This window comes from Homo sapiens, chromosome 2 (assembly GCF_000001405.40).
Source record: "Homo sapiens chromosome 2, GRCh38.p14 Primary Assembly".
Lineage (NCBI taxonomy): Eukaryota > Metazoa > Chordata > Mammalia > Primates > Hominidae > Homo > Homo sapiens.
In genome coordinates, this window is record NC_000002.12 from 148255243 (window position 1) to 148271452 (window position 16210).

Sequence of the window (16210 nt, forward strand, 5' to 3'; positions counted from 1 at the left end):
CTGCCCTGGGCAGTCGTACCACACCTTCTCAGCTCCCCGTGGTTCCTTTGGGTGCTGTATCTGTGCCAAAGTCAGAGGGGAGCTCATAATAGGCCACACGGACAGTACATGTGTCCCCCAGAGGAGGGCTCTTTCCCTGGCCATTCCCCTATGAGCAGTCAACCATGGGGGCCGTGTATTGAACACCCAAGGAGTAACATGCAAGTCATACTGTAGGCCTTTCCCCCAGGGAGCTACAATGACCAACCACTGGCAATGGGGTGCTTGGAGGGTCCATGGCCACAACCAGGTTTTCTATTCCCCTGCCTTCAGGTGCACTAGGTCAGGTAACAACAGGTTACCATTCATCGCCATACCTGGTTGGAGGAGGTCATCCTTAGTGTGTATCTACAACTGAATGGGGGTGGCAGCCTGTTGTAAGAAAGCCTCCACCAGGGCCAGGCTGCCTTTCCGTGGCCATTCATTCGAGGTTTAGAGCACCAGGTCCAGCCTGGAACTCCAGCCCCACAAAGACAGGAGTGTGACATGCAAGTATAACCCATTCTTCAAGAGCCCATTATATTGCCCAATCATACCTGCAGCTTGCAGGTTGTATGGCACACGGAATCTCCACTTTATGTCCATTTGTTATGCCAAGTGTTGTAGGTGTCATCCAGTGAAATGTGTTCTCCTCTCAGTCTCAACGGCCAGAGGGTGACCATACAGGGGACATAAGTATTTCAGGGCCTGGATGGTGTTCTGTTGGTCAGCCACCCTACAAGTGTAGGTGAACAACAGGCCTGTGGCCGTGTCCACATCTGTTAGCACATGCGTATACCCTTGTGACTTTGGCAGCGGCCCGATGTAGTCTATTTGCCACCTGGTCAAGGGCACTCACCCTGTTGTTACTTGTTGCGTAACATTGGACAGCTGCCTCATTTAGGGCATGCCTGAGCACATGCCAGGCATTTCTGAAAAGCCTCCCAAATGTCTTGCGTGGGCAGGGACAGACCCCAATGCGTATTGACCTGTTGTATCAGTTTACCCCCTGCATGTCCCAATTTCCAGTGTAGCCACAAGGCCACATCTCATGTAGGTGCCGACTCTAACCATTGGACCTTGGCCAAGGCATCTGCCTCATCATTGCCGGGGGTGGCCAAAGGCATATGGCCTGACACATGATAAACGGTTACCTGTTTCTGATGACCCATTTCCCAGAGGTCTTGCCACGTGGCTTGACCCCAAATGGGTTGGTGGCCGACTAGCAACTTCTGTATTTTCCAGGTAGTTAACCACAAAGTTAAGCCTTGGTAGACCACCCAGCTATTGATACAGATTACCATCAGTGTCACCTCCTTGGTGATCACCATCCACACTGCTCTAAGTTCAGCCCATTGGCTACTTTGTCCACACCGGGTTTCAAACCATATGGTGTCAGTACTAGGTTGGACTGCAACAGCGGTCCAAGCAGTTATAGCACCTCGGCTAGACCCATCTGTGTACCATGGCCTATCGAGAATGGGGGGACACCCTCCCTTAAATGCTGAAGGCTCAGGGTCTAGGGGTGCCTCAGGCCCCATGGCCTTAGGCCCCATGACCTTATCTTGCATTAGGACTATAGGTCCCAAGACCTTTTGCAGCTCTGCTGCTATGGTACTTGTACTCAGCTTACTCCACTGCTCCAAGTAGGCACTCCACTTTGCCAAAGTGGATGTCTGTGCCATCCCAGTTCAGGGGGTCGTTACCCATGAATGCACCCATCCTGCTATAGGCTAAGTCATCCACACGATGACTGCACCCTGCCCTGTCACACTCTCACAAGCCTGAAGGGTGGCATATATAGCTGCTAGCTGTTTCTCTATCAAGGAATAACAGAACTCAGCTCCCTTCCATAGTTGGGACCAAAAGCCTACCGGTGTTCTCAAGTGCTCTGTGCACTGCCACAGGCCCCAAACAAAACCATCTGTGTTCATCTGTGGTCACATGCACATCCAGCTCAAATAGGCGCCCCTGGTCCACTACCCATAGGGCTTATGCCTGCTGAATAGCCCGCTTGGCTGCCAGGAAGGCAGTCTCAGCTGCATCATTCCAATCCCAGGTAGCTCCCTGCTTTGTTAATCAATGGAACGGTTTTATCATTTGAGCTAAATGGGGCATAAATGCCCACCAATATCCCAGGAGGCCCACAAAAATTTGCAGCTGCTTCGTTGTGGTGGGCTGGAGATATGCCTGAATCTCATCAACGATAGCCTCTGGGATGGCCTTTGTCTTACCCGACCAGATAACTCCCAAGAATTTGACAAATGAAGCAGGCCCTTGGACCTTAGATTTGTTGACGGCCCAACTGCATGCTGCCAAATGTCGCCACAAGAGGGATGCCACCACTTCTAAATCTGCAAGAGAATCAGAGGTTAACATATCATCAATATAATGGAATAGGTGGACCCATTCTGGCATTGGCCAGGCAGCTAAATCCGTGGCAACTAGACCATGACATATGGTGGGACTATGCATATAGCCCTGCAGCAACACTGTAAAAGTTCATTGTTGCCTGTCCCATGTGAAGGCGAACTGTTCCTGGCTCTCTGGAGTGATATCGATGGAGAAAAATGCATTGTCTAAGTCCACTACGTAGTGGTACTGTCCCACTTCCATCATCAAACAGTCCATCAAATCCACGTTTGATGATACAGCTTCATGCAAAGAGGGTGTTACTTTTTTCAGTTCCCAATAGTCCACCATCATCCACCAGTTTCTATCAGGCTTTCTAACTGGCCACACTGGAGAACTGTAGGGGCTATGGGTGCCACGCACTATCTGCACCTCTTCCAGCTTTTTGTCTCAGTTATCTCTGTATGTCCATCTGGCAAGCAGTATTGATGGGTGGAAGTAACCAGTCAGGGTTGTGGCAGATCCTGAGGCTGGTGATGTGTATGTCCGTGCAGCACCAGCTACACCACATGCACTCGGAGTCTGAATTCCCTGGCTGTAGTTTGTAATGCCAAGCCATGTAAAATGTCCACCCCCAGAATGTATTCAGGTATGGGAGAAACACACACAGTATATAAACGGGGAGTCAAACAACGGATGCCAAGGTACAGAGATACAGGTTTCACTTTCACTGACTCGCTTTCATAACCCTCAATGTAAGCAGGTTTGCCCAGAAACTTATTCAGGTTCCCATAAAGAAGGCTGCAATCTGCACCGGTATCCACCAGTGCCAGCACCTGCACCCACCGTACATTGGTGGGGGACCAGTGGATCGCTAATTCCACACGTGGCCTCCAATCGTCCAGTGTCCCCCCAAACTGGGCATCCCGGCAAGTTCCCTAATGAAACAGAAACAGCTCTACATGTCCTCCTGGCTACAGCAAGTAGTCTTTGAGGTAAAGCACCCGGGTGGGACCGGGTGGCGCAGCAGTGTATTTCTCCCCCTTGGGCATTTTCTGGAATTGCTGCTCCAGAGACAACTGTCTCCACAAAGCTAAGAGTACTTCATTGGGCTGCTTATTGATTTTCTCTTGGTCAACCCCAGCCAAAATCAAATCTATCCATATCCATGAGCGTGTCACTTGTTGAGGCCCCCTTTTCTCCCATGGGGGCCCCCCTGTGGGTGGGGCATCTTCCCCTTCTTTAAGGCGCAGACCCCTTGGTCCTGCCAGTGGCCTTCTGCTTCCCTGAGAGCCGCCATAGCAGTGGTCACTTCATGTATGTGTCACCCTACATACAGGGTGGGGACAGCAGCTAGGGAGTCAAAGGCACTCAGGGGTGCAGAACCCAACACGAGACTCCTCATGTGGGAGTGAAATGTTCATCATCTGGCCTCTGAGTATTCAGGTCAAACATAGCCTGCTGCATACCCATCTCCCGGATGACTTGCCCCAAATCACCATATGACTGTCATTTACTCACAGTTTCAGGTATTTCACCAGTGTCGTCCCACATAGTCCGTATGGCTGCCCATAGCCACTCAATCAGGGTGTGGTCACCTTGCCCTTGTGCCAACTGCCCGCTCACCTGCAACCAACGTGCTGCATCCCTCAGAGACTGGAAGTGTAGTTCTTCTAGTGCAGTCAAAAATGCCCATCCAACTCTGCAAGCAAAGACTCGTTCATTCTCAGTGCTCTGTGCTTCCAGCTGCTTCAGCATATTCTCCATGCTTGCTGGGGACCCATCTACCTCTGCCCATGTTTCCCTCAGAGCCCATCCAAGCAGCACAGCTGCCACCGTGTATCACAACCCATGTTGTGGATACATGGCCGACCCAGAATCAGTGGGGACCAAAGGTTCACTTACCTCAGGATCCTATTTGATATGCCAATTCTCAGGTTCTAACTGAGGTCCAAGGGGAGTTGGTGGGTGAGTGGCAGGTAGCAGGAAAAACACTCGAGGAATTGTAGACAGTTTTGACATGGCTTTACTCTCTCTCTGGGTGCAAGTGAGCCATATGTGCAGCATTACCGGGGTAATTATACCTTTTACAGACAATAGTGGCTTTGAGCCAAGCATGAGCTCACATAGGTCATCATCTAATGCTCCTCACGTGGTGTGGTTGCATAATGTGCAGAGCTGTGCACCTGCACCACAAACCCGCTGAGTCATGCTGCACCAGAAGGCCACCTCAGCCTGCTCCTGACTGAAGCGCAGCCATTTCCCTCACAGCTATGTAAATACCTTGATTTAAAAATAGTTTATTACTAACAACAACAACAAAAAAGCTAATGATCACCTGAGCCTTCAGCAAATAATAATCTTCTTATTAGCGAGGGGTTTAGCCTCAATGTCGACATCTGCTGACTGGTCAGGGTAATGATTGCTGAATGTTGGGTTGTCTGTGGCAGTTCTTTAAAATAAGACAATGAAGTTTGCCACATTGGTCGACTCTTCCCTTCATGTAAGATTTCTCTAGCATAAAATGCAGTTTGATAGAATTTTAGCCACAGTAGAACTACTTTCAAAATTTGAATCAATTCTCTCAAACCCTGCTGCTGCTTTATCTACTAAGTTTCTGTAATACTCTAAATCTTTTGTTGTCATTTCAACAATGTTCACAGCATCTTCACCAAGAGTAGATTCCTCCTCCAGAAGCCACTTACTTTGTTAGCCATAAGAAGCAACTGCTCATCCGTTCAAGTTTTATCATGACATTGCAGCAATTCAGTCACATCTGCAGTCTCCACTTCTAATTAGAGATCTCTTGCTCGTTCCACAACATCTGTGATACTTCCTCCACTGAAGTTTTGAACTCATTAAAGTCATCCATGAGGGTTGGAATTCACTTCTTCCAAATTCTTGTTAATGTTGATATTTTGACCTCTTCCCATGAATCAAGAATATTCTTCCCTCCTGCCCCCATATTTTTCACACGTGAACCAGGCATGGGCACAGACTAAAAGCCAAGCTGGGATAAACAAGGAATTGCTGTATCTCTGGCTGATATGAGATGGGCACCACCAACCAGATGCTGCTCTACCCAGGTCAGAGATAATGAATATTCCTAATGGCATCTAGAATGGTAAATCCTTTCCAGAAGGTTTTCTATTTACTTTGCCCAGATGCATCAAGGAAACACTGTGTATGGCAGGTATAGCCTTACAAAATGTATTTCTTAATTAAAAAGACTTTAAAATTGATGCATTTTCAAGTTGAAAGACTTGATCCGTGGGCTACAGAATAGCTATGGTTTTGGCAAGCATGAAAACACATTCGTCTCTTTGTACATCTCCATCACAGCTCTTGGATGGCTAGGTGCACTGTCAATGAGCAGTAATATTTTGAAAGGAGTATTTTTTTCTGAGCAGTAGGTCTCTCAACGGTGAGCTTAAAATAGTCAGCAAATCATGCTGCAAACAGATGTGCTATCCTCTAGGCTTTGTTATTCCATTTATAGAGCACAGGCAGAGTAGATTTAGCATAATTCTTAAGGGCCCTAGGATTTTTGGAATGGTTAATGACCATTGGCTTCAACCTAAAATCACCAACTGCATTAGCCTCTAACAAGAGAATCAGTGGGTCCTTTGAAGCTTTGAAGTTGAACATTGACTTCTCCTCTAACTGTGAAAGTCCTAAATGGCATCTTCTAATAGATAGATAGCTGTTTCAACTACACTGAAAATCTGTTGTTTGTTCATCAATGATCTTAGCTAGATCTTCTAGATAACTTGCTGCAGCTTCTCCATCAGAACTTACTGCTTCACTTCGCACTTTTGTGGAGATGGCTTCTTTTCTTAAACCTCATGAACCACCTTGCGTTACTAGGGTCATACTTTTCTTCTGCAGCTTCCTCACCTCTCTCAGCCTTCAGAGAATTGAAGAGAGTTAGGGCCTTGCTCTGAATTAGACTTTATTTTAAGGAAATGTGGCTGGTTTGATCTTCTCCCAAGACCACTAAAACTGTTTATCAGCAAAAACGCTATTTCACAGCAAAAAGGCTGTTTTGCTTTCTTATCATTTGTGTATTAACTGAAGTAGCACTTTTAATTTGCTTCAATAACTTTTCCTTTACATTCACAACTTGGCTACCTGTTCAGCAGAAGAAGCCTAGCTGTCAGCCTGACATGTCTTCCTTACTAAGCTTAATTATTTCTAGCTTTTGATTTGAATTGAGACATGTGATTCTTTCTTTCACCTGAACACTTAAAGGCCATTGAAGTAATCTTGGCCTAATTTGAATATTGTTGTGTCTTAGGGGAGAGGGAGAGAGATGGGGGAACAGCCGGATTCTGTGGTAGTCAGAACACACACAACATTTATCGATTGAATTTGCCTTTTTATATGGACATGTGTTGTGGCACCCCAAAACAGTTACAGTAGAAACTTACAAGGTCACTGATCACGGATCACTATATTAGATGCAATAATAATGAAAAAATTTGAAATATTGCAAGAATTACCAAAATGTGACACAGAGACATGAAGTGAGCACATGCTGTGGGAAAAAATGGCACCCATAGACTTGCTGAATGCAGGGTTGTCGCAAACCTTCCATTTGTAAAAAACACAATATCTGTGAAGAGCAAAAAAACAAGGTGTGCCTATACATTTATTCCTGCACTGGGGAAATGGGAGATCAAGGAATGTTTACCAGAGGATGACATATAACATGAATCTCTTTTATCATCTAAAGTAAAAAAAAAAAATTATGTCATACGTATTATTCCTATTTGTAGAAGAGGAAGAGACTGAAGTACAGAAAGTCTATACATTCTATTTAAGGCCATATAATATTAGCATACATTTATATGGCTCTCACTCTACAAGAGCTTTATGTTCATTCATGTAACCCTCACAGCCACCCTATAATACAGATGCTTTTGTCATTTCAGTTTTATAAAAAAACTGAGCCCTGTGGAAATAAATAAATAGAAAGAAGGGAAAAAAATTGAGCCCTGTGGGGTTAAGTAATTTGTCCAAGGTCATATACCAAGGTCGTATATGAAAAGGCAATGCTGGGATTTGAACCAAGGCAGATAGACTGTAGTGTCTATGTGCTTAACAACTATGGCATACACTGTCTCTTCCTCCCAGTTGGTCATTAAGCCTGATTGAAAACTCAGCAGTCAGACTGGAGAACCCATACAGTTAAGTAACAGAATGCCATTGGCATTTTAGATAGATTGTTTTGACTGTAGTAAAAGCAATAGCCTTAGGTGGGACTCATCTGGAGGTGGGAAGACCAAATAGAGGAAAGCATGGATGTTAGTCTGATCTAGGCTAATTGCAATAAATATGCAAGAGATATTTAGCAAATTGAACAATCAACTTTCTGATACATGAACACTGAGTGTGATTCAAAGGAGAAGGTCAGGAATCATGCGTTGTTTGATTGACTAGGTGAAAAGTTGATATTTGGATGGAGAATACAAGAAAGAGACAATTTAGGGGAAAAGATGATGAGTTTTTTATTCTCCATAAATTTTGTATTTGAAATGACCATAGGGTGCTCATATGAAGATATACAGAAGGCTGTGGAATTTGTGAACTGAGCTCAGGAGAAATATCTGGGCTGAGAAATAGAGAAAAGGACTAATCAGGGAAATGTAGGATTGCTAAGCATGTTTAAATACACAGTGGAGTTTTTAGATCAAAATATATCGTGGCACAAATGTACACAGTTGTGGTGTGTGCATTGGGAGGCAGAGAGAGGGAGGGAGACGAAGAGAGGAGAAAACTTTTTGTAAGCCATGGGAGAAGACAACAGATTATTAATACTTAAAAGTTTATAAGTTTTTCCCTGTTTCCTGCTGAAATTAAGGGTCAACTTTTGGTGCTGTTTTATATATTGGGAAGGGAGGAAACTTGAAAGAAGCCAATAAAGCTAGAATCACTTAGATTAGGAAGTTTTAGGGAGAATACAATCAATCTTCAAAGACCGGAAAAGTGGATGTATTGAAGGAAAAAGTCATATTGGGTGGAGGTTAGAGTTTGAGGAAGATTTGGGTGTGTGAAATAAGATCCTGGGACAGCTGCCCTGCTGCACAATTAAGGGAGAAGACAAAAGAATCTAATTATCTTTTACTATGCATTAGCAATGAAATCCTACATTAGTGTGTCTTCATGAGAGTTCAGTAATGATTTAAGTTGTTTTTCATTTTTCAATGCTTTTTACATATAGGCTCCTGTTTTATTTGTTTTTAATATGAACATAGTTTTATGAGTCTGGCCAAAAGCCATCTTGGCTGTATATGGGTTACTTCTAATTTCTCTAGCAGTACTCCAGCAACCTATGTATAGTATTAGAGAAAGCAGACATTTGCATTCATTTATAGGAGTTTCATAACCTAGTGAGATAGAGAGAGTTGATAGTATTGACAAGTAGTGTTCAAGATAATGGAGATATATACATCATCTCAAAGTGCACATGTAGATGTGGACCATGAAATACCAGAAGAAATTTAAGAATTTGAGATAAATATGAAAGATGCAAAATGTTAACATTGTTGGATCATCAAAAATAGTTTACAGGCTCAGTAGGATGGCTCATACCTGTAATCCCATCACTTTGGGAGGCCTGTGTGCTACAATCGCTTAAGTCCAGGAGTTTGAGACCAGCCTGAGCAGCATCGTGAGACCTCGTCGAAGAAGAAGAAGAAGAAGAAGAGGAAGAGGAAGAGGAAATAATAATAATTTACAGATGAAGAAATTAAGACTGAGAGAGGTTAGGTCTGTTGTCTAAGGTCACACACAACTAGCAATTATAGTAGCTGGTATTCAAACCTGATCAGTCTGGCTTCAAAGTGCATTCTCTTTCTAGTATGCTTTTGAACTGCCTAGAAAAATAATGGCAATTTCTGAAATGCAACAGTATGATTCACGATAGTTGCTAGGCATTGTACCAATCAGAATTCTTAGTTTTAAACAATAGAAGCCAGCTTTGTCTAAAGCAGAAAAGGAATATTTGGTAATATCATAGAGCCTGCAGAATCTATAGGGGTGCTGGAGAACTAGACTTAAGAAACTGGTAGAAATGAAGAAATGTAAAGCCTTGCCAATGTCATACCATAGGAAAATTCTGCTTTGAAGTCTGCTGCTGATACAGTTTCCACTGGACAGCCTTTAACATGCCACTGGGTTCTGCTGCCTTTGGACACTCAATGAAGTTTGCTGTTTCAGTGTGACTGCAGCTTCCATGAGTAACCTCTGCCTCACTCTCACAAAATTCAAAGTCCTGGGTGGGAGCATTAGTTTGGTTAACAAAGGTCACATGACTGATGATCAATAATCAAATAACTAGGAAAGGGACTATCCCAGACTTTTTGAGATTTCCCAAAATAAGGAATGTGTTCAGACACTGGGCAGCCATCAACAGATGTCATTTACACGTATGTGTGCATGTAGACACACGCACACACACACACACACAAACACACATATTCGATGATTGCTTCCCAATGCCAGAGATTTCTCATTAAATTTGTAACAGCATGGTGTTCAAATACTTTTCTTTTTAAATTTATGTTTTACTACCTAAAACATAATGTTTCATGGTCTAAAGGAAGAAAAACACAAGTAAAGGAAAAGAAATAAAAAACTTTTAAAATTCCAGTACCTGATTAAAATAACAGCAACATTTTTGTGTATATTCTTCCAGGCTTTGTTCAATACATAGAAATGAACTCTTTAGCCAAAGTAGGATGATAGTACATATTATAGTAAGACCATCTTTTTAAAATTCACAATGTATTCTAAACATCTTTCTATGGCAATTTTAGAAGGACATACTATTCTGTTCCATGGATGTATCATAATTTGTTCAAAAATCACAGATTATTGAACAGTTAGATTATTTACAGTTTTCTGTCATAAACAATGCTTTGATAAAAAACTATTTTTTCATACCCTTTTCACATTATTGAATTACTTCAGAAAAATAAATTGCTAGAAATGCACTTGCCTCATCAAAATATAACACATTTTAAAGGCTTTCAGTTGTTACCCTCAATTTACTCTTTCAAAACATTATATTAATATATGCATAAATATGTACATTTTGCAATATGGATATTACAAGTTTTTGTGTTGCAAATTTGATAGATGAAAAGTAGGATTTCATTTCTTTTATTTGTTCAACGAGTATTTTTGAGACTCTGCTATATGCTTAACACAGACCTCATTTCTGGAGATAGACAAGCTGCTTACTTTTGTGGAGTTTACATTCTAGGGAGTATGTGAGGTGGCAGGCTGGGGACAAAGAACAAGTTCAGGAAAGAGAAAAAAATGCTTAAATAAATTTGAAAAGAATGGGAGGATTAAGAGGATAATTCAAATGGCGACTTAGATTGGGGTGGAGAGAGAGAGAAGTGTTTCAAGAAAAGAGGGAAAGCTTTTCTTTTGATTTTAATATCTAAATCAGGCAAAGATAATACAAGAAAGAAAAATTATAGGACAGTCTCACATGGAAACTTCAATGCAGAAACCCTAAATAAAATATTGATAAATCAAAGTGAGTATTTGTGTTGGTATCTCCTGACCACGTAGGCTTTATTTGAGGAATTCAAAAGTAGTTCAATGTTTTTCTTTTTAAAAATCTATCAGTGTAATCTGTAACATTGAACAAATTAAAGGAGAAAAACCATATGGTCATCCCAATAGATACATTAAAAGCATTCAATAAAATTGAACAATAATTATAAGAAAAACTCTTGGCACATTAGGAATAGGAGGACAATTTCTTAATATGATAAAAAGCATTTACAAAAAATAAGAAAAAAATTTTAAGAATAGCAAGCATGCCACTTTAAAGTATGAAAGAAAAGGTTGCCTGTTGTCATGCAAACTTGTCAACATTATACTAGAAGTTCTACCCAATGCAGTAATAAAAAGAGAAAGAAGAGAAATAAAAAGATTGACTAGCAAGACAGAACTGTTATTATTTGCGCATGTTACTATTACCTATATAGAGTTAATAGAAAATGTCTGCAAATATGCTGGACTAAAAATCAGTTTATAAAATAATAACTCCCCTATCAATAATCAATTGATAAAAAGAAAAAGCTTACCAGTAATAATAACAAAAACTATAGAATAACAAGGATAAACATAACAGGCACTTATAAACAATTTATCTGAAGAAAACTATAAAACTTTGCTGAGAGACATTTAAACAAATAGACTGGTAAGACTAACACAATAAAACGCAAATTTCTTCCACATTAGTCTGTAAATAGAATCCTAGGTTTTCAGGTGTTTTATTTTGTTGATTAAAAGAAAAGCAGAAGAACAGATACTTATTAAGTGATTACTGTATGTCACACTCTACGGAGGCTGTTGGGATACAGCAAAGAATGAAACAAGCTTTATCAGGAATCATTGAAGATCTTCTAACATTTAATATGAATGCTATAAAGAACAAAAAACATGCAGGAGGTATGAGGCTAATGTTGATTTGGGAGGTGATGAGGGGTGTGAGTAGAGGGAGGAGATATGCAGGCTTTGACATCTATCCGTTTAAAAATGTATTGTAAGGGGCATTGAGACCACAGTAGACAGATAAAAAAAGAATAAAACAGACAAATAGATCTGGGTATAGAGAAAGTTACAGTTTGTTTTAGGTGGCATTTTAAATTAAAACAGAGAAAGGATGAATTGTTAATAGAGTTGTGAAAATTGGGATGAAATGAGTACACTAATCTCACAATTTAGCATCAGCCCAAATAAAGATCAGATGGGTTAAAGATGTTTACATTTTTCTAATTTTACTTTTCCTTATGAAATATTTTGAACATATTAAAAAGTACAGAAAATAATGACATTGGTAACTTTTAATCGAATCACATCACATTAATTCTGATTTCTCTCCCATTTTTTTAAAGAAATAATATATTACTGACAAAGCTAAAGCCCATCTCCATTCCTTCCCCTTGCCTCCCTCTCCAGAGGTAACCATTATTCTGAAATCAATGTGTTCATATGAATGGATATTTTTATATTTTTACTAAATATATGTTATTGTTAAATAATACATAGTGTTCTTTAACTTTTTAAACTTTTATGTTTGTTTGCTTTTACGTGTAGATCTTTAATCCACCTGGTTTTGTTTTATGTATGACTTGGGGTAGGTATCTAATTTGATTTTTTCCATATGAATTACCTATCCTGCAGAAGAATCAATCTTATTCCCACTGATTCTAATAATACATCTTCTGTTTTATTTATTCCAGGTCTATATATTTTTAGTTGCTATTGTGAACGATTTTTTTTCTTTTCTCTCTCGCTCTCTTTTCTTTTTTTTCTTTTTTTTTTTTTTTGAGACAGGTTCTCACTTTTTCACCCAGGCTGGAGTGCACTGGTGTGATCTCATCTCACTTTGACCTCTGCCTTCCAGGCTCAATCAATTCTCCCACCTTGGCCTCCTGAGTAGCTGAGACCACAGGCATGCACCACCAAGCCCAGCTAGTTTTTGTATTTTTTTGTAAAGCTGTAGTTTCACCATATTGCCCAGGCTGGTCATGAACTCTGAGGCTCAAGGGATCTGCCCGCCTTGGCCTTCCAAAGTGCTGGAATCAGCTGGGATGAGTGCTCCCTTCCTTCTTTTTCCTTTTGTATAGCCTGGTCTCCCTAAACTGCCCCCAGGCTGGTCTTGAATTCCTAATCTCACGCAATCCCCCCACCCAGGCCTCCCAAAGTGCTGGGATTACAGGCTTGAACCACAGCATCCCCCTCTCTTTTCTTTCTGTTATACTTTATGTTATCTTTCTATTTATATGAGGCTCTCCTTGTTTTTATTTTTATTGTATACTTATTTTTTAACAGCCCATCTTTTCTGAACTTTATTAATTTAGTTGGTAGGCTTAGTTTTTTTCATGTCGATTATTTTGTCATTAGTAGTTAATGGTAATTCTAAATCTTTGCCATTATTTATATATAATATCATGTTCTTATCTGGTTGTGTTGGCTAATTCTTACAGAATTATGTTAAATAAATGTACCATGTACAGTTTCTAATTTGCTATGAGTATTTTAAATAAAAGTGGATATTGGACATTATAAAAAAACTTGAGTCATTTATAGTGATAGTCATTTGGTTTTTCTTTTTTAACCTATTATTATAATGATATATTTTATTAAATTTCCCAACATAGACATTTCATATTCTCCATTTAAACTCTACTTCATCATGTATTTGGTTTGCTTATTTTTAAAATCTAATATCCATAGAGGTGGGTGGGGATTTCTATTTTTATTTACTTATTTTTATTTATCTTTCATGCCTAGTACAATGCTTGGCATAGAATAGACACTCAGTAAATATTAAATGAATGAATGAATAAGTGAGATTGGTTTTCAGGTTTTATTTTGTCTTGTCATTGTCATGTTTTATAGTAAACTATACTAGTTTGATAAATGAAATTAAAGACTTTCTTTCTCTAAGATCATTGAAAGTATTGAAATATCACTAGAATCATTTGTTGTATTTGTCTTTAAAAGGGAGCAGCTTTTGTTGTAGTTGTTCAAGTCTACCTTTCTGGTTTTTGTTTCATTTATTTGTATTTATCTTTATTCACCTCTTATTTTTCTCTGTTTCTTTAGGTTCATATTTTCTTTCTTTTCAGTTTTCTTGAATTCAATGCTTGGTTTATATATTTTAATTTTTTTTAATAAGTAGGTTTAATGCTCCAAGTTCTCTTCTCAGATCAATCCTAAAAAGTCTGTAATTTATTATAGATTTCTTCTTCAATAGAAGTATTAAAGGATACATAGGAGATAAACTTTTAAGTCCTTGTATTTCTAGAAAATTTTTATTTTACTTTTATATTTGAGAACTGCTTTCCCTAGACATGAGTACAAAATCATTTTTCTCACAACTTTTAAGACATTATTTCATTTCCTACAGTGATGTTGATCACATAATTGATATGTGACTTTGTTTCTTTCTGGAAGCCTTTAAGATCTCCTTATCTAGTGGTCCAAAACTTTATACAGATATATCTAATTGTGAGTTTTTTTAGTTTTTTTTTTTTTTTTTTAGTGTAGTATACTTGGCATACAAGGACTTTCAGTCTGAAGTCTTATACCAGTTTTTATCTTTAAAAATTATCTTCTATTATATCTACTGTTATTTTTTCCTCTATATTTCCCTACATATTCTCATTCTGGGATTCCTTTTAGTTGAATGTCAACCCTTTAGAATCAATCTTCTCTCTTAACTTTCTCATATTTTACCCACCCAGTGCTAATATTCTACTTACTGAAGATTTTTTCTTAACTTAGATTTCCAAATCACTTATTGTATTTAGCAATCATATATTTAATTTCCAAGACCTCTTTCATATTTCATGCTTATTCTTTCTTTAAGATATCCTCCTCTTGTTCATGGATGCAGTGTATTATAAGTTTTTCAAAGTTATTTTTATATTCTATAAATATTCTCCCTTTTCTCAGTGTCTTTCTTTTTCTCTTCACTGTGGTAGATGTGATTCATGTGTCTGATGCCTGTTTACTTTTTAAATAAAGTAATAGGAAAGCTCTGATTTCTCTATGTGTGAACAGACTACTGTATTGGCTGGCTTGTCTTGAATAAGGTATGCATGACATTAGCCTTATATTTTGCAAGCCCTAAATATCAAAGGTGATTTTTCTGATAGAGAGCATTGCCTCTCATTCTAGCCATCCTTGTTCTCAGCAAAATTGTGTTCAATATTTTAGAGAGGAAACTTCCATTACTTCCTTTCTATTTTTTTTTTTTTTTTAGACAGTCTAACCCTGTCACCCAGACTGGAGTGCAGTGTCAACATCTCGGCTCACTGCAACATCAGCCTCCAGGGTTCAAGCGATTCTCCTGCCTCAGCCTCCCGAATAACTGGGATTACAGGCATGCACCACCACGCCTGGCTAATTTTTGTATTTTTAGTAGAGATGGGGTTTCACCATGTTGGCCAGGCTGGTCTCAAACTCCTGACCTCAAGCAATCCTCCTGCCTTGGCCTTTCAAAGTGCTGGCATTACAGGTGTCAGCCGCCATGTTTGGCCTCACAACTTTGTCTTCTGACTTTCAATTTTTTTTTTGTTTTCAGCCTCATAGGTCTCTACTAAAGTTCATTGCATTTTGTGTTTCCAATTGCCCTACCTTTCTTGGATTCCTACAGCAGGTTGGCCCCCTCCTCACCTTTCATCTCTTCCTCTACTGCTCTTTATCACTCAGCACTCCTTCTGATTTCCTTCTTTCTGAAATTTTTTAATTCCCTTTTCCACAAACAGATAGCCCTTTATTCCTTTTCCTTATTGTTTGTTTTCCCTTTAAAAATGTATTTATTTACCAGTATTTTAAGGAGATCTCAAGAGAGAAAAGATAGGAATATGAGCTCAGCCTCATATCTCATATCTCACTCTCATAACAAAGACCCATCTTAAGAGCTTTTGCTGCCTTTATTTTTATTGTTAAAATATGGAGTCTGTAATTGATGTTTCAGTTTCCTCTTTGGAGAAAGATTTTTAGGCTCTAGGTAATTTTATTTATACTCTTTATCTTTAGTCAGTTGTTTCTAGTTTTATTACCCTATGATTAGTGGCTGGACTATAAAATTTTTAATTTTTGGAGTTCAGTGATGTTTTCTTTGTAGTACGGAATATAATCAATTTTGGTAAACATTCTGTGGACATTTGAAGAGAATTATGTTCTCTGTTATATACAAGGTTAGGTACATCTGTTATATTGGTTAATTCTTTAATTTACTTTTGAATGTTTGATTTATAAATGACTTTTTGAAAGAAGTTATTTTCCCAAGACAATTATT

The 16210-nt window shown here is 39.3% G+C and overlaps 1 protein-coding gene and 1 non-coding gene across 27 annotated transcripts in view, besides 1 other annotated feature; one reads left to right on the top strand and one right to left on the bottom strand.

Moving 5' to 3' along the window:
* Nucleotides 1-16210, top strand: part of MBD5 (methyl-CpG binding domain protein 5) — a 496045-nt gene that overhangs the window by 234316 nt on the left and 245519 nt on the right. The window lies entirely within an intron of this gene.
* Nucleotides 3970-5169: an enhancer, noted in NCBI's record as "BRD4-independent group 4 enhancer chr2:149016781-149017980 (GRCh37/hg19 assembly coordinates)". NCBI's record gives its function as "activates an origin of replication core promoter dependent on BRD2, P300/CBP, MED14 and CDK7 cofactors, and independent of BRD4, by STARR-seq in HCT116 cells {active_cell/tissue: HCT116}" and the evidence as "EXISTENCE:reporter gene assay evidence [ECO:0000049][PMID:35650434]".
* Nucleotides 5332-5466, bottom strand: LOC124900532 (small nucleolar RNA SNORA48). Its single transcript, XR_007088725.1, has one exon. It is a non-coding gene; the product is annotated as a small nucleolar RNA SNORA48 (small nucleolar RNA).